Genomic DNA, 22,320 nt, shown 5'->3' on the forward strand with positions numbered 1-22,320 from the left:
TTTGGGCTGGGGAGGGGAAACAGAGGGGGAGAAGCTTCATTCATCCAAAGTCTGATCTGGGGATTGGGGTCAGTGACTCAGCTGGGTTGTGAGGTTGGGGGTGTCCCAGACTATTTTGAGAGAGTGACTAAGAAGAGGCATCTGACACCTTGGACAGCTTGCTCCCGTCTTGTGAGCCCCCATCATTCTACTCTGGCCCTGCCTCTGACTCTTCCTGACGTGTCTCCACCCACCGTGCCAGGAGACTGGAGGTCTCCTGAGGGCAGGCTGGGCACCTCCTCCTCTGTTCTGAGCCTGGATACCTCTGAGTGTGATGCTCAGCTCTCTTTCTTCCCCATTCCCTTCTGCACTAAAGAGTTCCTTCTTTCTTATCCATTCCACCCTGTGCCCCACAGCACAGGTCAACACAGCCCCGATGAAGCTGGATTTGGGGGGAAGACATCTGAATGACCAGGCCCAGCTCTTCACTGGGCCGAGATTGGCCAGGCCCAGCTCCTCCTTTGCACCACTACACCCAGTTAATTTTTGTATTTTTAGTAGAGATGGGGTTTCACCATGTTGGCCAGGCTGGTCTCGAACTCCTGACCTCAGGTAATCCACCTGCCTCGGCCTCCCAATGAATGAATTCCACAGCAGGACTCTATGGTTTTCATTCCAGATTATCTGAGTCCTTTCTTCTCGACTCTTCCCTCTGACTCAGGGCCCAGGCTTTCTGGGAATGGAGGGGAGGGGAAGGGCGGCATGCAGGGAGCTGACCGTGGGGTTATTTCTGACCCTGGAGTCATCAGCTTCCCAGTCACAGATGGAGTGGCGGCGGGGGTGGGGGGGTCACACCTGCCTCCTCCTTTGCTTACCAGGGCGTGAGGGGCCCAGGAGGCCCAAGAGATCCTGGCAGTCAGACCAGTGTGGTGAAGGATGTCAGGGGACCATCTGCAAAAAACTCGAAAGAGGTGTTTTGTCCTAGGTGGGCCTGGCCCAGGCTCCATGCCTGTGGGTATGCAGGTGCATTCTGTGGCCTGGCACATGAGGTCTTCCTTCTGACTCCCCAAATGCCCTCTGGTACCAGGGGGTGATGCCAGACATTGCTCACTTTTTCCATGTAGTCAATGTCAGTCCTGCAGCGTCAGCTGGGATGGGGGTAAGGACATCTGGGAACCCCCTCTTCCTGGTCTCCCTCCCTCTTGTCTCTTCCCCTGCTCTTTTCTAGCCCTCTGCCTGTCCCCCAGGCTCCTGGCTCTCTCTAGGAAGGGCAGGGAGACCGATGTACCAGTGTTTCAGGGAAAGGGCAGCCTTAGGTTTCTCAGGATTTCTCCTGGGAGGAGCTTTCTCCCTGTGGGTACTGAAATTTCTTACTTTCTAGGATAGTTTTGAGAATTGAAGGAATTATTATATGAAAAGAGTGCCTCCAGCCAGGCACGGTGGCTCACGCCTGTAATCTCAGCACATTTCGGCAGGCTGAGGCTGGTGGATCACTTGAGGTCAGGAGTTCGAGACCAGCCTGACCAACATGGTGAAACCTTGTCTCTACTAAAAATATAAAAAATTAGCTGGGTGTGGTGGCACACACCTGTAATCCCAACTACTTGGGAGGCTGAGGCAGGAAAATTGAATCTGGGAGGCAGAAGATGCAGTGAGCTGGGATCGCACCCCTGCACTCCAGCCTGGGCGATAGAGCAAGACTCTGTCTCAAAAAAAAAAAAAAGTGCCTGAGAGTACTTAGCACATAGCCTATGCTTTAGAAGAGCCAGCTATTATACTGTATATAATATAAAAAGAGAAAAGCCCCTAGGTGGAACTCACTTTTGTACTCACCTCCTGTGATAACTCATGGGAGAAATTCCTCAGGCCTCAATATTAGGAAAGAGGCTCTTCCTGAGCACTTGGTTTCTTTGTATCTAGTACAGCTGTGCTGTCCAATAGAGTTGCCACTAGCCAAATGAGGCTATTTAAATTTAAGTACATTAAAATGAAATAAAATAAAAACTCAGTTATTTCACTACACTAGCCATATTTGAAGTGCTCCATAGAGACAAGTGGCTAGCAACTATTATATTGATTTTGTTTGCTTGTTTGTTTTTGAGACGGAGTTTCGCTCTGTCGCCCAGGCTGGAGTGCAGTGGCGCGATCTCGGCTCACTGCAACCTCCACCTCCCGGGTTCAAGCGATTCTACTGCCTTAGCCACCCGAGTAGCTGGGATTACAGGTGTGTGCCACCGTGCCCAGCTAATTTTTGTATTTTTAGTAGAGATGGGGTTTCACCATGTTGCCCAGGCTGGTCTCAAACTCCTGACCTCAGGTGATCCACCTGCCTCCGCCTCCCAAAGTGCTGGGATTACAGGCATGAGCCACCGCACCCAGCCTGAAACTATTATATTGAATAGTGCAGAATGTTTGCATTATTTCAGAAAGTTCTACGGATAGTGCTGTTATAGATGTTAAAATAAATAAGAAAATAAATTTTTCTGGAAGGAGAATTGTCAATAGAATAAACAATTTTTATGACATATGGTGTTTCTCTTTGACTTGGCTGCTAGGAAACTCAGAGCTAAATTTTTAACCTAGCAAGTAGACTTTATGGTCCAAATCCTGTGTAATGAGGGTGACCAACTTTTTGTTGTCTGTCTCTGAGGAGTTTTGCAAGACAAGGGATGTTCAGTTTTAAAACTGGAAAAGTTCTAACAAAACCAGGACAAGCTAGTCACTCTATGTGTAATGATCTAATGATATCACATCATCATGGTATTAATTATGAGGCTGTCAAGATAGTAAACTAGGCATTATTTACTGGAGTATCTTTAGTGGTATTAAGAAGGTAAACTGAGGCACAATAAATTTTTTAAGAGTTTATTTGTGCAAACAACAATTTTTGAATCAGGCAGTCCCAAACCAGAAGTGGCTTGGGAACTCTACTGAGGGAGCACAAGCGGGAGGTTTTTATAAGACAGATACAGAAGTAAAGCAAATATAATATTTGATTGGTTACAGTTATACAGTTGCCTTATTTGATCTATCCCATTGGAAAGTCCCTGGTTATATAATTATTTGTGCTGGCTGCTTCTCATTAGTTGCACTTAAGTTTTATTTTTCTTTAATATAGGCATTTACAAGAAATAGCTCAAAGGCAGGCATGGTGACTCACACCTGTAATCTGAGCACTTTGGGAGGCTGAGGTGGGAGGATCACTTGAGCCCAGGAGTTGGAGACCAGCTTGGGCAACATAGCGAGACCTCATCTCTACAAAAAATAAAAGAAAATATTAGCTGAGTGTGGTGGCATGCAATTGTTGTCCCAGCTACTTGGGAGGCTGAAGTGGGAGAATCGCTTAAGCCAGAAAGGTGGAGGCTGCAGTGAGCCGTGATTATGCCACTGCATTCCAGGCTAGGTGGCAAAGTGAGATCCTGTCTCAAAAAAAAGAAAAGAAAAGAAAAAAGAAAGAAGGAAGGAAAGAAGGAAGGAAGGAAGGAAAAGGAAGAAAGGAAGGAAGGAAAAAGAAAGAAAAAGGAAGGAAGGAAGGAAGGAAAGAAGAAAGGAAGAGCTCCAGTTTTGCATGTCTGCAAATCAAGCAAGGGTAAGGTCCCTTACGAGACCTAACTTGTTTTGCCTGCTCAGGGATGCTTCAGGTCTGAGCTCCATTTTTTTAACAGTGGAGATACTGTGCATCTATTTCTTTAAGCTCTCTCAAATCATTTTGGGAACGAGGCTGGAAATAAATAAATATCCTGAGGTTGAACAGCTGATCTTTGCCAACAGGCAGAGAGGTGCTCGGGGAGGGGGTATGAGGGAAGGGTGGTTCCCTTCCAGCTATCGCAGTCCTCTCTTTGGGAGCCTACTGGTTTTTAGGGTCCAGGGCATCATCTCCTACCAGCCCCTCCCTCCAAGTAGGGCTCCATCAAAGTTGGGTTTGGGCAGAAATTCACGCATAAATCATGAAGGAGCCGAGTAAGTAGCTGGCAGTTGACTCACTTCAAGTTTCAGGAGAGACAGGATTCGAGAATGATAGGAGCCAGACTGCTTGAGGCTGAATCCTACCTGTGACACTTAATAGCTGTGCAACTCCTGGCTACCCTGGCACTGGCTGGCAGTCCTGGCTTCCTGCTGGCTGGGAAGCAGGCACTGGTGCCAGGAGGACAGCTTGGGCAGCCAGGCTGGCTCTGTTCCAAGCCTGCAGGTGAAGGGTCTGCTCAGCCTCTTGATACCAGAGAAGAATCATCTGAAGCCAGAGAAGGGATTTTCTGCTCTGGGGTCAGCAGATTTGAGGGGAGAGTCTCCACCCTCCTGCCATGGGAATATCATGGCTACCGTGTGAGAGGGAACAGAGCATGGTGTTTGAGAGAGTGGGAGCTGGTGTCAGATGGCCTCAGATCAAATTGCCAGTCTGTCTCTTACTATTTATTTGACCTCTGAGAGTCTTTCAGCTCTCTGTACCTTAATGTCTGTATTTAGGTTATTCCAAGAGCGGAATCTGAGACGAGCATTTGAGTGCAAGTGATTTAACCGGGAGAGGATCCCAGGAATGTAGTGAGGGTAGAGAAGTGAGTAAGGGAAGGGATGAAAGTGGGTTACCTCTGTAAACAAGTGGGGCTTAATCTCCTAATTTCCTTTTCAGGTAGTTCATTGTTAGAGTATAGAAACACAACTGATTTTCATCTGTTGATTTTGTATCCCACGACTTTACTGAGTTTTCATCATTAGTTCTAACAGTTTTTTAAATGGAGCCTTTAAGAGTTTTCTATATATAAGAATCTGCAAACAGGGACAGTTTTACTTTTCTGATTTGATTAACTTTTATTCTTTTTCTTGCCTAATTGTTCTGGCTAGGACTTCGGTACTATGTCTACTCAATATAGAAGTGGTGAGAGGGAGCGTACCTGCCTTGTTACTAAATTTAGAGGAAAAGTTTTCAGTTTTTCACTGCTGAGTATGAAGTTAGCTGTGAGCTTTTCATATACAGCTATTAGTATGTTGATGTTCCTTCCTTCTATTCCTAGTTAGGATGTGCCTTCCTTCTATTCCTAGCTTATTGACTGCTTAACCTGTCAATAAACTAGGAATAGAAGGTATCAAATGCCTTTTCTTTTTTCTTTCTTTCTTTCTTTCTTTCTTTCTTTCTTTCTTTCTTTCTTTCTTTCTTTCTTTCTTTCTTTCTGTCTCTCTCTCTCTCTCTTTCTTTCTTTCTTTCTTTCTTTCTTTCTTTCTTTCTTTCTTTCTTTCTTTCTTTCTTTCTTTTTTCTTTCTTTCTTTTTTTATCGAGTCTCACTCTGTCACCCAGGCTGGAGTGCAGTGGCATGATCTTGGCTCACTGCAGCCTCCGAGCCTCCACCTCCCCGGTTCAAGTGATTCTCCTGCCTCAGCCTCCCAAGTAGCTGGGATTACAGGTGCACTCCACCACACCTGGCTAATTTTTCTATTTTTTTCAGTAGAGATGGGGTTTCACCATGTTGGCCAGGTTGGTCTCAAACTCCTGGCCTGAAGTGATCCACCAGCCTCCCGCTCCCAAAGTGCTGGGATTGCAGGGGTGAGCCACCAGGCTCGGCCATCAGATGCTTTTTCTAAGTCAACTGAGATGATCATGTGATTTTATCCCTTATTATGTTAAAGTGGTGTATAATATTAATTGATTTTTGTGTGTCGAACTATTCTTGTATCCTAGGGATAGATTCCACTTCATCATGAAACTGAGTTTAATCTCACTTGAGACCCTCTGACAGATGGGGGTAGTGCATGCCTCACTTGGGGTGAGGAAAGTGAGTGCTATGGTTTGAATATTTGTCCCCTCTAAAACTCAAGTTGAAATTTAAGCCCTAATGTGGCAGTATTGAAACTCGGCAGCCTTTAAGAGGTGATTGGGTCATAAGGGTTCTGCCATTCATGGATTAATAGATTATATTAGTAGATTAATGGATTAATGGGTTGTCATGGGAGTGGGACTGATGGCTTTATTAGAAGAGCAAGAGACACCACAGCAAGCACTCTCAGCCCCCTGGCCATATGATGCCCTGAGCTGCCTTGGGATTCTGCAGAGAGTCCTCACCAGCAAGAAGGTCCTTACCAAATGCCATTCCTCAACCTTTGACTGCTTGGCTTCCATAACTATAGGAAGTAAATTTCTTTTCTTCATAAATGACCCAGTTTCAGTTATTCTGCTATAAGCAACAGAAAATGGACTAAGACAATGGGGTATTTGTCTACCAACCCTCACCTCCCATTGATTGGGTGCTGTTTCAGGAAGTGCTATCTACCTCCTCTTCCCCTGTACTTCTTGCCTGCTCCTTAGGCAGAGAGAAGATGCAAGTATTTGAAGTAGGAAGCTCTTATAGGAACTGTCTATGGAAGTTACAGGTGACCCCAAGTGGGGCAAAGATAGTATGGGACACGGGCAGCATATGCTATGTTAGGTTCCCATATCTGTGAGATGAGGGAGATAATAGCAGGCCCACGTCATGGGGTTGCTTTGAAGATTTGGGCCAGTGCTGTTGGGTAGAAAAATAATGCAATTTGTCTAAATAATATAAGCCAAATAGTGTGAGAGAGAGCCATATAAGTCATTTAAAATTTTCTAGTAGCCACATTTTAAAAAGTGAAAAAAAGAGATGAAATGAATTTTAATATTTTATTTGACCTAGATTTCCAAAGTATCATTTGCACATAAATTAATATAAAATTATTAATAAGATATTTTGAATTATCTTTGAAATCCAGTGTATATTTTATATTTATAGTATATCTTAATTCAGACACTAAATTTTCATCAGAAACACTTTATCTGGCCAGGCATGGTGGTGCACGCTTGTAATCCCAGCACTTCATGAGGCCTAGAGGTGGTGGATTTCTTGAGCACACGAGTTTGAGACCAGCCTGGACAATGTGGCAAAACTCTGTCTCTACTAAGATTAGCCAGGAGTGGTGGCACACACTTGCAGTCCCAGCTCCTTGGGAAGCTAAGGTGGGAGGATCACCTGAGCCTGGGAGGTCAAGGCTGTAGTGAGCCGAGTTGGCACCACTGTACTCCAGTCTGGGTGACAGTGAGACCCTGTCTCAAACAACAACAACAACGAGAAAAACCACTTTATCTATATTTAATAAAATGCATTGCTGAAAAGTAGATTCTCAAGTTGTTCAAGCACATTTAAAATTTTCTAGTAACTTAATTATCAGTTTTAAAATTTGAGTGAATTAAATAAAACTAAAGAAGTCATTTGTGCATTTTGCATTTTGTTACCCTTGTCATAATTCAAGTGCTCAGTAGCCACATGTGGTGAGTGGAGACTATATTGGACAGCATAGATGTAGAGGGTTAATCCCTGTGAGGTGTTTAGGGCAAATAGTCAGCTTATATCAGCTCTGGCTGGGTCTGCACACTGAGAGAGGCCGAAAGGTACTGGGGCAAGCGCTGGCCTGGAAGTCAGGAGTCCTCAGTCCTAGCCCCACTACTGCCCTGACAACCCCTCTTCATTTTCCCCATCTGTGAAATGTATAAGATAACAGTCAATGGTATTTAAAGTCCTCTCCGGGTCAAAAATCTCATTGACAGGGAAAGATTGAATCCAAATTCCTATTTTCCAGTTGAAAAACCTAAGGCCCAGCAAAGGAAAGCGATTTGTTTATGGTTAACAGCCACAGGGAAGGTAAAAGTGTTAACATTTAGTTCACTTTTCTTGGCTTAGAACACCTTTCCCAGAGCTGCCAATGTTCAAATCCCTCCCTCCTTTAATATCCAGCTCCAGTGTTCTGAGGTCCTTTTGCATGTGCTTGACCACATGCAATCCTCACAGAAGCCCTGTGAGAAAGTTATTTGGGCCCATTTTACAGGTGAGGAAACAAAGGCTCAGCGAAGTTATGTTAAGATGTTAAAGTGATACAGTAAGCGAGAGGCACATCAAGGACTAGAACTCAGGTTTCCTGAACCCTTGATCAGGGTGGCAGGTATACTTCTATAGCACCCAGGGATACCTTGTGAGAAGGGATGTAATGGGGGATGAGACAGGCCTAAGTCTCTCTAAGGACCTAGTCCAACTCTGCCTGGGTGGGGCTGCAGAAAGCTGAGAGATGGCTGCCCCCTAGTCCTTGGGCTTGCAGAACTGTCGTCAGCCATGCAGCAGTCTTGGGGACCCAGAACACTTTTCACTAGGAAGATGTGTGGTTGGCAGCCTTTGTCAGTTCTCCTGGGGTTGGGGGCCCTGTCGCTTGACCTTGTTAGCATCCCCTGCTCCTCTGTTCCTCCCCAACACTTATTGATGCCTTACTGGGAGCAGGCCTCTGCTGGAGGATTCCCAAGGCACACCAACTTGTCAGCTTTGGAGCCTTCCCTAGAACCTCCCAGTCTAGTGGGAAACTGACATGGTGGGAACAGAAGTACCAACTGGGTGTTGGGGGACCCAGTGAGATACAAACTCCATCTAGGGTGGTTTTATGGTTTTATGCAAGAGGGAGCCTGTGAACTGAGCCCACCAAATGAGATACTTGATGGGTGGAGATGGTGGGTATTGTGGACTAAATTTTCTTCCCCTTCCCCAATTCATATGTGGAAGCCCCAGTACCTTGAAATGTGACTTTATTTGGAGATAGGCCCTTTAAAGAGGTAATTAAGGTTAAATGAACTCATAAAAGTGTGGCCATAGCCCTGTCGGTGTCCTTATAAGAAGAGGAAGAAACACCAGGGATGTACATGCACAAAGGGAGGGCAATGTGGGAACACAGTGAGAAGGCGGCTGTCTGCAGGCCAGGGAGAGAGACCTCACCGGAAACCAACCCTGCTGACACCTTGATCTTGGACTTTCAGCCTGCAGAACTGTGAGAACAGAAATGTCTGTTTAAAAGCCATCCAGTCTGTGGTATTTTGATATGGCAGCTTTGGCCAATGAATATGGTGGGGAACAGCATTTAGGTAGGAGGTATGGCCTAAGTATGGACAGGTAGGAGGAAAATCTGGTTAAGCACAGATGAAAAGAGGGGCATTGAGACAGGAGTCCCAGAGGCCATGTGGTCAAATTTTGTTCATTTCTGCCCCCCAGCACTGCTGAGTACAGGTTAGGTGTGGAGCAGATAGCAAACGCCTGATGAATGAGGGTCTGGTCAGACTTCTAAAGATGGCCCCTCAAAAGTTTTCCCAAGCTGGTGACAGAAGAGAAATGCGAAGAGAGATTTGAAGCATGAGGGGAATTTGCCGCACCATTGCTGACTTGAACTTGGAGGGATCACAGGAGAAGGACTGTGGGTGACTGCAAGGAGCCAGGAGAGGCTAACAGCCTCAAGAAAACAGGAACCTCAATCCTGGAAACTCGGGAAATTGAATCCTTTCCCCAACATGAATGAGCCTGGAAGATTTCTCTTCAGTTCCCAGATGAGAACACAGCCAAGGTTCAGCCTTGGAAACCTTGAGCAGAGAACCCAGCCATGTGTGTAGGACCTCTGAGCTTCAGAACTGTGAGTGGAAACATCCTCTTAAACTGATAATTTTGTGGTATTTTGCTACACAGCAATAGATAAGGAACACAGACTGGAAACTGGCGAACTTGAGGGCAGGCAGGAGGCCATGCCGCCTACTGGTCATAGTGTTCTTAGTGGAAAGCACTCACAGGTCACGCAGGCAGTCCCTGAGGGGGGTCTGGCCTGAGCACTCTCCACTCAGTGGCTGGCTAGGGACCTGAGGCAGCTCTGCTCAGTGCCCCCAGGTCACCAGGGAACTTCAGAGCATCTCAGAGTCAAGAAATCCTGATCAGGCAAAGTTGGAGCAGGAGGACTCCTTTGTTTTTTTATTTCCCCCTTTTACACATGGGGAAGCTGAGACTTGGAATAAAGTCTGGACCCTGCAGAGCAGTGAAAAGAGCCTGTTTCAGATAGTTTTCCTTTGGGACCCCAGCTCCACTACTTCCCAGCTCTACAACCTTGGGCAATTGTGTCAGCTCTCTGAACCTGTTCCTGGCCAGGTGCAGGGGCTCACGCCTGTAATCCCAACACTTTGGGAGGCAGAGGCGGGCAGATTACCTGAGGTCAGGAGTTTGAGACTAGCCTGGCCAACATGGTGAAACCCCATCTCTACTAAAAATACAAAAATTAGCCAGGCATGGTGGCGGGTGCTTGTAATCCCAGCTACTTGGGAGGCTGAGGCAGGAGAATTGCTTGAGCCAGGGATGTGGAGGTTGCAGTGAGCTGAGATCATAGCAATGCACTCCAGCCTGGGCAACAGAGCAAGACTCTGTCTCAAAAAAATAAAAATAATAAAATGAACTTGTTTCTTTGTCTGTACAGCGGGGATGAGACACTTTGGACATGAGAAGATGAGGGAAGGAGGCTCTGGGCAAAGGGAAGAGAGTGGCAAAGGTACAGAGGCTTGGATGGTGTGACGTGTGCAGTTTGCTTTGAAGGCAGGATGGATGGGCAGAGGTGGAGCGTGGTCTTGGAGCGCATGGAGCCAAGTTGTGAAAACTGAATGGCAGGCATGGAAGTTTGGGTCCCATCCTGAAGGATTTTAATCAGGGGCAAGTTGGAGTATAGAGTCGGTTAGAGTCAGTCCACAGGGGAGAAGATAGGGCAGGGAATCTGTCCCAGCAGTCCAGGTTCCATGTGATGAGGATCTGATGGTGGCAGATGAGGGAGAGGAGGGACTGTCTGAGGGCTGCCCAGGAGTCAGAGTCGACAGAACCTAAACGAGCTAAAATATGCTAAAGTTCTTGGTGTACTGTTTGATGCAACTTCTGAAAACCATCTAGTGACCCTGGGGGTGAGGAAGGGAAAACTCTGGGCTGCTACCCGGCTGTCTGGATAAGTGAGTGGGGGATGCATAAGTGGGGGCAGTGGGAGTGGGAGAAGGGGCAGGGTGGTTGGTGGTGTGTGGAGACCACAGGCTGACTTTGGACAAGATAAGCATTAAATGTCGGGCTGTCCCAGTCAGAGCTGGCTTTCTGGGGACCAGGCAATCAGATGTGGAGCTCAAGAGAGAAGACTGGGCTGGCAAGTGTTTGTGTGCAGATGGGGATTGAGGCTGTGAGGGGAGCAGCACTCGCAGGGGTCTGTGAAGAGAAGCGGGCTTAGGGTCAGATATGGGAGAAGGACTTCAAAGAAGCAGCAGCCAGAGAGGGAGGGAGAAAACCTGGAGAAGAGTTGGTCATGGAGGATGCTAAGGGAAGAGCATATTTGAGGGGGGAGAGAGCACCAATGTCTGGGGCTACACAGAGTTGTGGTAAGATAAGCAGGCAGGATGGGCTGCTGGTTCAGCAAGGATGCCCCTGAGCACTTTGGCAGAGCAGTGACAGTGAGAAGGCACAGCCAGGTGGCGGGGCTGAGGAGGGCCGGGTGAGGCTGTAGAGATACCAGGAGGGAGGCTTCTGTTCAGCAGCTCCTCTGGTCCTCAGAGCTCTCATTGATCAAATAGTAATCAACACAGGGGTCGGAATTCCTGTTAAAAAGAAAAAAATCAATCAGCCGTTGGGGGGCCGGGCCAGGTGGCTCACCCCTGTAATCCCAGCACTTTGGGAGGCTGAGGATCACTTGAGCCCAGGAGTTGGAGACCAGCCTGGGCAACAAAGCGAGACCCTCATCTCTACAAAATAAATAAATTAGCTGGGTGTGGTGGCACACACCTGTGGTCCCAGCTACTCGGGAGGCTGAAGCGTGAGGATCACTTGAGCCCAGGAGGTCAAGGCTGCAGTGAGCTGAGATTGCACTACTGCATTGCACCCTGGGCGACAGAGCGAGACCCTGTTTCAAAATAAATAAATACATAGATACATAAAAAACCAGCCACTGGGAGAGTGCCTTGTAAACTGAGAGTGACTTGAGGCAAGGGGTGCGTAGTTAGTTCCAAAGACATGATGCCTTTGAAATGGCTAGCAATACCGTAGTGCCCAGAAGGTGACAGCACGTCATCAAGCCGCACTTCATCTAGCGGGACTAAGCAGTTATTTAATTTATTTTATTCTACAAGATTTCTTTGTACTCTTTGTACAGCTGCTATGTGTTAGACTCTGGGCTAAGCACTGGAGATTATTGTATATGTACATACCTAATAAAAAATCTAATATATTAATATAAAATATGTATAAAATTATATATATGTACATAACTTCTAGGAAGCCTAAATTTTAGTTGAAGAGGCAGTTAACACAAAGAAGTGAATTATCTTCGTAACTGTCAATTAACTCTCCAAACTCCAAGGCTTTATCTTCTCCAGGTTAGAGAGAAGTCCTTCTAGACTGTGTGACATATATCCCCTCCTCCTAGAACAAAATGTACTGAGCAGAACTTGAGTTCAAATACTGGGTCCACCAGGAAGTGAGAGTGTTTGCCTATCCATGGGACAGATTAGATGAATTTCCCAAAGATGGTCACTGCAATATCTCCCACCTCATATGTTATGCATATAATGTGATTTTGATACTCTTTCAATTGAGAGAAAGAGGTCTTTGTGCCATCCCCTTGAATCCAGGCTGGCTTATGACTTCGGTGGCAGGACACTTTGTGACTTCTGAGGCTGGGTCATAGAAGGCAATACAGCCTCCATCTCTGATGACATTGGAACCCAGCCACCATGCTGTGAGGAAGCCCAAGCGTCCTGTGGAGAGATTATGTGGGAGAGAACCAAGGCCCCCAGGCCACAGCATTGGCTGAGCTCCCAGCCAACAGCCAGCATCAATTTGTGGATATTCTTGGAAGCAGATATTCCAGTCTCAAGATGAGTTGTCCCAGCTGATACCACATTGAGCAGAGATGAGCTGTTCCTGATTGTCTAACTGTAAGCAAAATAAATGATTTTCATTATTTTAAGCCATTTAAGTTTTAGAGTGGTTTGTTATGCTGCAATAGATAGAGATAATTCATTAATTAATATTTATGAGTGCCCACTCTATGCTGGGCACTCTTTGCTAAGAGCTGGGGATGTATGGTGAACAGGACAGACCGTCTGTGCTATTATAGAATTTACTGCCTGGGTGGGAAAATGGATTGCGATCAAAGTAAACTAATTTGCTGGCTAACCTAAACTTGAAGCTGTGACAAGGTTCCCAGGCTCCAGGCCCCTGGCCTTTTTGACCTTATCTCCAAGTATATTGCATATACAAATACCCTCCCTTTCCTCAGAGTCATTGTGACTCTCCAATGGGATAATAGCCATTAAATGCACACACAGAGAAGCATGGGACTAAGAGTGAAGCTAGAAAGATGATTTCTTAAAGGAAAGGGTTTTTCTTCCCCTCTCCTCAAGTTTGATAGGGGTCTTCAAGAGAGCCATTGGGAGAGCTTGGCCTGAGTCCCTCAAGCTGACTGGGGGACAAGAGCGAAGAGAACTGCCAAGGTCTCCTGCGAGCCCACTCAAGAGGATGCTGGCAGGGCAAGGACCTGTGCAGGCGGGGAAGCCATCGTAAGCAGTTGGCTGGAGACTGTGTCGCTCTTGTCAGGGAATGGTGCACCTGTGGGATGGTGTCTCCAGTGCACCCACCAGAGCACCCCACAAGAGAAAGAGCCAGCATTTGGACATCTGACCCACCCAGAGGGCACCAGCAACACTTTTCTGCCACTCTATCTCTCCACTCTCTCCTTATCCAACTCTAGATGAGTCAGGAGTGGCATCATCAGTGGGTAAAGAGGAATGAGGAGGAGGGGAAGAAATAGTGAGGGAGCCAGCGACACTTCCCTTCCTCACCAAGTTTCCAAGCTGAGCCAGGGCAGCCTTCCATGTACCCACCTTGTCCATATCCCCAGCCTGCCCAGCTTGTACTCCAGCTTTTTTGACCTCTCCAGGTCAAAACTCAAGGGATGGGGCAGGGAGACAGGTAAAGGGCAGGAAAGAGATTGAATGCCTGGGACTTCCCTAATGCATCGCTCCCGGAGTTGGCAGGTGGCTCTTTCTATCATGGGTGTTTTGAAGGTTCTTTGGGGATTTCCATGCCCCATACCCCCTGCAGTTACTGACACAAGTGATGTACTTTCCAGCCTTCTCCTGACAACTCCCATTCAACCCCTCGTCCTAGGAGATCATCTCTACAAATCAGTTGGGCTCCTATTGGCCCTCCAGGCAGCCCCCGTGGGCAAATCCTTTTAAGACATCTCTCTCCATCTCAATGTACCTGGGACCGAGTATTCTCTATTCAAATTTCCATCTCACTTCCAGGGCCTGTGTGGTTCTCTTTTCTAGGTTCATCCACTGAGGACAGACTATTGTGCTAAACCATACACCTTTAGGCCTGGGAGGGTGGCCAAAAAGAGGGGAGTTTATGGATGTACCTTGGATCTGCAGTCTGGGATGTTCACACATATGCACTTCATGGAGCAGAACAGAACCAGGGAAGAGAAGAAAAGAGGGATGAAGCCAGGGATCCATTTATTCTCTCGCCTGTCTGTAAATGTTACAGACATATGAGATAGGAGAGGAGGCTAAGATGTCCCCAGCAGCCCAGCAGTGGAAACAGCAGGTGCTAAGACCCTGAAGTGAGAGAGAACATTGTGCATTCTGGGGACAGGAAAGGGAGGGAAGGAGAGAGTGCTATGAGTCTCAGTAGGGGATGGAGGTGGACAGGTGGGGTGGGTGCATCACACAGAGAACTGTGAGCCTCGGCAAAGACTTTGATCTTATCCCAGAGTAGTGGGAAGTCTTGGAGTGGTTTAAACAGGTTAACAGTGTAAACAGACTGCATTTTAGAGAGACCTCTTTTGCTGCTTTGCGACTTGGTGGTGGGGGTGTTGGGGGGAAGACACAAAGAGTAGAAGCTCGAGGAAGAGTTGGGGTATTGATGTCACAGTGAGACATAAGAAGTGATGACCTGAGCTAGGGCAGGGCTTCTGGAGATGGTATCATGGACCATCAGACACCTCAGGCTGCCTCTGGGCCCATGCCAGCTTCCCCAAATATAGCCTGGTGGCAGGTGGTGAACTAAAAAGTGAGAAACAACTCAGTCACCATTTTTCTGCAAGTTGCCACTTCATTTGAGTGTGTGGCATTGAATGCATTTTTCTTACTTCTGGAGCTTTGACCAAAATCTCTGAGACAGGAAGAGCCCCTGAAAAGTTGTGTTACATGAAGAATGATTCTGCACCTGCAGGGATCCAAAATGCACTTCAATGGCATAAAGATTATTTTAAGCTAGAAACATCTGAACAAACAGCAGCTGCAGAAACAAACAAACAAAAAGTACCTAAACTGCTGACTTAAACAGGACCTCCTGAACACTGCTGCCATAAATCCCCTCTCGAGGAAGTTTACAGCCAGAGAAGAGACTAATCATTGTCACCGTAATGAGTAATTGCTTAAACAAATGTTATCTGAAACTCCATGCCTTCCATTTGTTCTTCCATGGAAGTTCTCTCTCCGCCTCCCTTTCTCTTTGTTAAGTGGATATATAAACCCCTATTTTTGGCTGTTTAGACAGCCATATTTATCTGAAGACTCCTTTGAATAAATAAACTTCATCTTTTTTCCCTGTTAATCTGTCTGTGGTTGGTTAATCTGTAGACTCTGAACATAAATAGGTAAAGAAAAAGTGTTTTCTCCCAACACACTTTCCTTTTGCCAACAAGAGTATGGGTGACCGACAAAGATTTTCTATCTGGTACTGGATTTTATCTTCCTGGCCTGCCAAAGTTGCTGAATAGCAGAGGGTTGCTTATTGTCTCTTTCTCTTTCTCATGCATGTTAATTGGATTAGAAAAGATGGAGGAAAAGAGACCATATAGGAGACTGCACTGCCAAATGTACTATTAAAGGGTAGCAGAATACTCCACCCCAAAATATGCCACACTGGCATAAGTATTATTGTGAACTGAAGGTAACTGAGAAGAGGCAGACACAAGAAAAGCTCTTTGCTCTCCCCATTTGCCTAAAAACAGGATATAACTTTACAAAGGAGTTCTTCCTCCTCTCCCTGTCAGGAAGAACAAAGACCGACGACAACTTTAGGCCCTCATCAGCCTGAAGGTGGCACCAGAGGAGTCGACACAGCAGACTTCACTGACTAGCCTTTATCTACCGTAAAGTTCCCATATATTTGCTTTCCCACAATTTTCTCCACCTGGAGACTCAAGGTCTTTTTCTTTTGTCTTGACACTACTCTAAAAATGTATTGTTCCTTGTTGAAGATGCTACGTAGTTGAAGTTCTAAGCCACTTATTTGAGAACTAATCTTTTCTTGAGTATTTTCCATATATATATAAAATATACATGTTAATACATTTCTCTTTGTTTTTCTCTTGTTAATCTGTCTTTTGTTACAGAGGGTCCTAGGCCAACTAAGAAGAGTAGAGGGGGTCAGGCATGGTAACTCACGCCTGTAATCCCAGCACTTTGGGAGGCTAAGGCGGGTGGACCACCTGAGGTCAGGAGTTTGAGACCAGCCTGACCAACATGGCGAAACTCTGCCTCTACTAAAAATACAAAAATTAGCCAGGTGTGGTGACAGGTGCCTGTAATCCCAGCTACTCGGGAGGTTGAGACAGGAGAATTGCTTGAACCTGGAAGGTGGAAGTTGCAGTGAGCCAAGATCACCCCACTTCACTCCAGCCTGGGCGACAGAGCAACTCCGTCTCAAAAAAAAAAAAAAAAAAAAAGAAAAAAGAAAGGAAGAAAGAAAAAGAAGGGTAGAGGGAAAATTATGTTTTGTCCCCTACCTTATTTATATAAATCATTGTTATTTCCAATTTAGCCACAAACAATGAAGGGCTGGTGTATGCTGTAGAATGGCTGAACAAAAGGAATGCTTTCTTGCTTTCTTGTTTTCAAAGTGATAATGGCCAGAAGGGTAGATGAGTTATGCTGGTTTACATTTAGTCTGGTTTAATTGCACTTAAGTAGAATGCTAAATGTCAGCAGGTGGCTGATTATACGTTGACTGGACCAAAAACAGATTAATAGCTTCTGTATTAGTCTGCTAGGGTTGTCATAATAAAATACCATAGACTGGGTGGCTAAAACAGCAGACATTTAGTTCTCACAGTTCTAGAGGCTGGGAAGTGCAAGATCAAGGTGCTGACAGATTCAGTTCCTGGTAATGGTGGCCACCATCTCACTGTATGCTCACAGAACCTCTTCTTTGTGTGCATGCAGAGTGAGCTGTGGTCTGTCTTCCTTTTCTTATGAGGACACTAATCCTATCATGGGGCCCCACCCTTCATGACCTCATCTAAACCTAATTAGTTCCCAAGGGCTCTACCTCCTAATACCATCACTTGGAGGGGGTGGGGGAAGGGTGGTGTTGGGGCTTCAACATGTGAGTTTTGGGTGGTCACAAACTATGAGTCCATAACACCTTCTCTATAAATAAAGACTAGTTAAAAAGTATTATAATGAATACAATACCAAATGTTCATGTTAAAATGTGTTGTTTTTGTTTTTGTTTCTGCCAGTCTTTTGTTAGATCTTGCCTGGAGACATCAAACCCTTCTTCCTGTTCCTCGCCTGCCAGAAACTCAATCTGCCCTTGCGAGGACTTATACGTTGAGTTCTTCTGTCAGAAAAATCAAGTGTAGGAAAAAAATCTTTGTATTTCAGTAGAAAACAATGCACTGTCTGTAGCACACCTTCCTGCATTATAAGATTCTAGGCCTGTACATTGTCTGAGCTATTTTGAAACTCTCTGTAAGTTGTAACTGGTATGTAAATGCTGTACTGTCTGGTTGTGATTTTAACTGACTTCTTCCTCACTGTGGAAAACTCAGTTTTGTCCCCATTTGCAATTTATCTTAACATTCCTTTACTCCATATAAATCTGTTTTTGAGTTTTCCTTTAAACTGGTTATAACACCTGCTTGCTTTTCTCAGATCATATAAGTGAAGTAAATTCTTCAACATGTGCTAATTTTTACATCTATATGAGAGTCATGATTTTACCTTTCACTGAAAATTATCATTTAACACAGGGAAGCCTTTGGGGGGAAGTGGCAGGACTTGGCTTCCAAAGAAGAATGGACTGAATCTCTGAGCCCTGTGTCTCTCCCCCATTTAGGTTTGTGGCCACGCATTCCTCAACTGCTCAGGCCCCGAAGCATTCAGGTCATTCTTGACCCTTCCCTTTCTTGCACCCCCATCTCCAACCCTGTATAGGCTACATAATGTCTCCCCAAAGCTGTCTACATCCAAACCCTGGAAGCTGTGAATGTTTGTTATCTTACACAGCAAAAGGGACCTTGCAGATTTGGTTAAATTATGGATTTTGAGATAGGGATGGATTATCCAGGCAGACCAGTTGTAACTACAGGGAAGCAGAAGCATCATAGTCAGAAAAAGGAGATGTGAGGATCAAAGCAGGGTTGGAGAGAGGTGCTTTGAAAATGGAGAAAGTGGGCACATGCCAAGGAATGCAGGTGGCCTCTAGAAGCTAGAAAAGGCGGGGGAATTCTCCCCTCAGAGCCTCGGGAAGGAACCAGTCTTGCTACTCGATTTTAGCCCCATAAAACTATTTTCAGATTTCCTACCTCCAAAATGGTAAGGGAATAAATTTATATTGTTTTAAACCAGTAACTGCATAATGTGTTACAATAGCAATGGGAAACCTATACAAATGCCATAGTAAATTACGTTGGCTTCATCTTCAAAATGTAGCCAGAATCCGACCATTTTTCCCCAGTGCTGCTGTTAGCATTCGGGGCCAAGCCAGTTCCATTCCTTGCCTGGGCTGTTGCAATGGCCTGCATATGGGTCTCCTTGTTTACCCTGACCACCCAGCCTTTTCTGCTCCCTGGAGGCAGTATTTGAGTCTCTCAGTATTTGAGTCTCTTGATATGCTGTCTAGGAGGCCCTCTGGCTTTCACACCTGACACTTTCTCCAGTGCTTCAGTAGCTCCCAGCAATGGCCATCCAATTCCATTGTCTTTATAATGACTACTCAATAGTTCACACAGGCCTGGTACATTCCACCCACCAGGGCATCCCTTGCCTCCATATACCATCCTAGTTCACCATGCATGACAGATTTGACAATTGCACTGCCTCAGTTTGTTGGGGCTATTTGTACTTCACCTATAATCAGCAGTAGGGCTCTCCTTGCTAGCCAGCTGGCAAGTAAACAGCTCCAAAATCCCACTGTAAAGTTTGCTTTCTTGGACCACTGCTGGTATCAGCTGTTGCAGGTCAGGTTCTCTGGATTCTGACTCAGAGATGCAGATTTGCATGCAGGCAGGTTTTTGGGGAGTGCTCATGAGATCAACACCTGTGGGAGAGGGATGGAAGCAGATGGATTCCCGTGGGGAGTGAGGCAGACTGTGGAAATGCCATGCAGCCACAACCAAGATCACTGCTGGCAATCCCAGAGGGAGCTCTGGAGCTGGGGCAGTGCTTTGGAACTGTCTGCACAGGGCGCAAGAAGGCCAGGCCTTTATGCCCTACATTCGTGAGTCATTGAATGTAGGCTAATTCCAAGTAAGGAGTGCTACTTTTTTTCTGTTCGTTTGTTTTTGTTTTTATTTTTTTCTTGAGATGGAGTCTTGCTCTGTCACCCAGGCTGGAGTGCAGTGGCGCAATCTCTGCTCACTGCAACCTCCACCTCCCGAGTTCAAGCGATTCTCCTGCCTCAGCCTCCTGAGTAGCTGGGATTACAGGCGTGCACCACCATGCCTGGCTAATTTTTTGTATTTTTAGTAGAGACGGGGTTTCTCCATGTTGGCCAGGCTGGTCTCCAACTCATTACTTCAGGTGATCTGCCCACCTTGGCCTCCCAAAGTGCTGAGATTGCAGGCGTGAGCCACCACGCCTGTCCAGGAGTGCTACATTGAACAAGGCAGCGCTCTTCAGCCATGAGCAACCCTTGGAGAGGGACTCACCTGAGAGCTTTTGGCCACCAACATTCAGGATGAGTTCTGAAAGGGGTGGGAGGGGAGCATGTCTGAGTGCCAAACTGTAGCATCTATCACAGTGAACTTTGATAGAAGTTACATTAGATTTTACCACTATCCTCCTTAAATTCCTCCAATGGCTTAAAATGAAATCCATGGGTAACAGACCCTACATACTCTGGCTACTGATTACCTTCAGAAGTATCTTCTCCTTCTGGCTTATGTGCTGCAGCTATATTAGCCTTCTCTCTTGCCATTTGCTCAACAAATATTTATTGAATATTAACTATGGACCAATGTTCTATATTGGGGCTAGAACTGTGGACCATAAGCTAAATTGTGGGACTGTTTTTGTAAATAAAGTTTTATTGGAACACAGTGACTCCTATTTGTTTAAGTCTTTTCCATGGCTGCTTTGTGCTACAACAACAGAGTTGAGTAGAGGCCATACAGCCCTAAAGCCTAAGATATTTACTATTTGATCCTTTACAGAAAAAGTTTACCGACATTTCTTTTAGATCAGTGCTGTCTGATACACACAGACACAGACACACACACACACACACACACACACATTGCAGATCACAATTTAAGTTTATAAAAAAGAGAAATACATTTTAATGATATATTTTATATAACCCAATATCTACCAAATATCATTTTAACCCATAACCAGTATAACAAATTAGCAGTGAGTTATTTTACATTTTTCTTTTAATACTAAGCCCTTAAAATCCCATGTGTATTTTACACTTATGGTGTATTTTGAGGTGGGACAGCCATTTTTCAAGTGCTCAGTACCCACACATGGCTAGTAGCTACAATATTGGATGGTGCAGTTCTAGAAGTCACACAGCAGTGAGTAAAGCTGACCAAATTCCCTGCCGTCATGAAGCTAACATTCCTATGGGACAGAGAGACAATACACAAATAGGTAAAGTGGGTTTTAGGCCTGCTGGTGATAAGTGGTGCCCATGACTTCACAGAGAACAAACGGAAGCTTCATATTTAGAGAGACCCTCCTAGACTCTGCCTTGGCTGATTTTATCCCTCCCCTTGGCAGATTTTAATCTGTATGGCTTCCCTGTAATACAACATAACTATGAATACAACAGCTTTCCGTGAGCCCTGCTAGCAAGTTATGTAACCTGAGGGTGGTTTTGGGTGGTTTTCCCCCTAAATTGCAGTTGGTGTCAGAAGTGAGGGTGGTCTCTTGTGGGGACTGTTCTCTCTAACTGCACAGTTGGCTTAAACTCTTTGGGGAAGGGGATGTGTGAGTAAAGACCAGAAGGAAATGAGGGGACTGGCCAGGAATCTGTGGCCTGGGGCAGAGTAAGCAAAGGGGAGTGGAAGGAGATGCCTTCTTTACTCACTGCCATAGTTAAAACGCTTTACACATAGACCAAATGCTCATGCTTTAAAATTGTAGCATCAGGATTAAGGTTTAGGTTAACACTGAGGTTAGGGCAAGGGGCTGGAGACTAAGGTGAGTTTTAGTGTTTTGTTTGGTCTAGGATTAGAGTCGGGGTGCGGGCAGGGTTTAGGCTTTAGTGTTTAATATTCAGTGTTCAGACGTTTATAGTTAAGAGCAGTGCAGTCTCTTGGTACGCAGCTGTGAAGAGGACACTCCGCAGACTCGGTGCCCACCAGCGGCCTCCCCTGTGTCCCTGTGACCGTGGCGGCAAAGACGGACTCAGGAGTGCAAGTTGCTGATGAAGTATGTCACATTTTTTGTGACATAAAAGTTCATAAATGCTCCACATCAGAAGAAATCAAGAAAAGAAAGAAGACTGTCATTTTTTGTCTCAGTGCAGACAAAAAGTGCATCATTGTAGAAGAGGGCAAAGAGATCTCAGCTGGAGATATTGGTGTAACCATAACTGGTCCTTTCAAGCACTTTGTGGGAATGCTTCCTGAAAAAGATTGCTGCTATGCTTTATATGATGCAAGCTTTGAAACGAAGAAATCCGGAAGAGTATTGTTTGTTTGTTTGTTTTTGTGGGCACCAGAACTACCACCTCTGAAAAGTAAAATGATCTTCACAAGCTGTAAGGATGCAATCAAAAAGAAATTTCAAGCAAATGGACCAGAAGATCTCAACTGGGCTTGTATTGCTGAAAAGTTAGATGGGTACTTAATTGCAGCTTTTGAAGGATGCTCTGTGTAGGCCATCATTCAGTGCCACAAATGGAAAGCTTCCATGTTTAATGTTATCCGCTTGCTATATAAATAAAGCAAACATATGTTTTTAAAAAAGAGAAAACAAGAGTAGTGCTCAGATAGAATGTGTAGCTCATGGAATTCAGTACTGGGAGTCATGTTTAGTTCCTGGTGTGTGCATTTGCTAAACAGGATTCCACTAAACAGCCAAGGATACATACCCTCTTTTAATTAAATAATAGAAGCCACATGAGCATTGTCTTAGAGTTTGGGGAGAAAATGTGTAACCCTAGAAATTATGCCCATTCGTGTATTATCAATGTGTACAAGTCACAGAAAGACATTTTGGAAAGTATATTGCCCAGGAACTTTTTCTGAAAAGGGTGATATGGCTGAAAGGATTCAGCC

The 22,320-nt window shown here is 45.5% G+C and overlaps 1 protein-coding gene and 1 long non-coding RNA gene across 2 annotated transcripts, besides 2 other annotated features; both read left to right on the plus strand.

Moving 5' to 3' along the window:
- Positions 12,057-17,780, plus strand: LOC124909366 (uncharacterized). Its single transcript, XR_007095872.1, has 2 exons — positions 12,057-12,730; positions 17,329-17,780. It is a non-coding gene; the product is annotated as an uncharacterized LOC124909366 (long non-coding RNA).
- Positions 17,745-18,413: an enhancer, noted in NCBI's record as "H3K27ac hESC enhancer chr3:39251989-39252657 (GRCh37/hg19 assembly coordinates)". NCBI's record gives its function as "activates a minimal SCP1, AML or CMV promoter by ChIP-STARR-seq in naive H9 embryonic stem cells {active_cell/tissue: H9 hESC(naive)}" and the evidence as "EXISTENCE:reporter gene assay evidence [ECO:0000049][PMID:30033119]".
- Positions 18,414-19,081: an enhancer, noted in NCBI's record as "OCT4-NANOG-H3K27ac hESC enhancer chr3:39252658-39253325 (GRCh37/hg19 assembly coordinates)". NCBI's record gives its function as "activates a minimal SCP1, AML or CMV promoter by ChIP-STARR-seq in naive H9 embryonic stem cells {active_cell/tissue: H9 hESC(naive)}" and the evidence as "EXISTENCE:reporter gene assay evidence [ECO:0000049][PMID:30033119]".
- On the plus strand, positions 20,049-21,919 carry DSTNP4 (DSTN pseudogene 4). The gene is made up of 2 exons (XM_047449432.1): positions 20,049-20,091; positions 21,387-21,919. Exons 1-2 carry the CDS (start codon positions 20,049-20,051, stop codon positions 21,917-21,919), a joined length of 576 nt encoding a protein of 191 aa, XP_047305388.1.
- Positions 21,920-22,320: the final 401 nt, after the last annotated feature.

Source organism: Homo sapiens, chromosome 3 (assembly GCF_000001405.40).
Source record: "Homo sapiens chromosome 3, GRCh38.p14 Primary Assembly".
Lineage (NCBI taxonomy): Eukaryota > Metazoa > Chordata > Mammalia > Primates > Hominidae > Homo > Homo sapiens.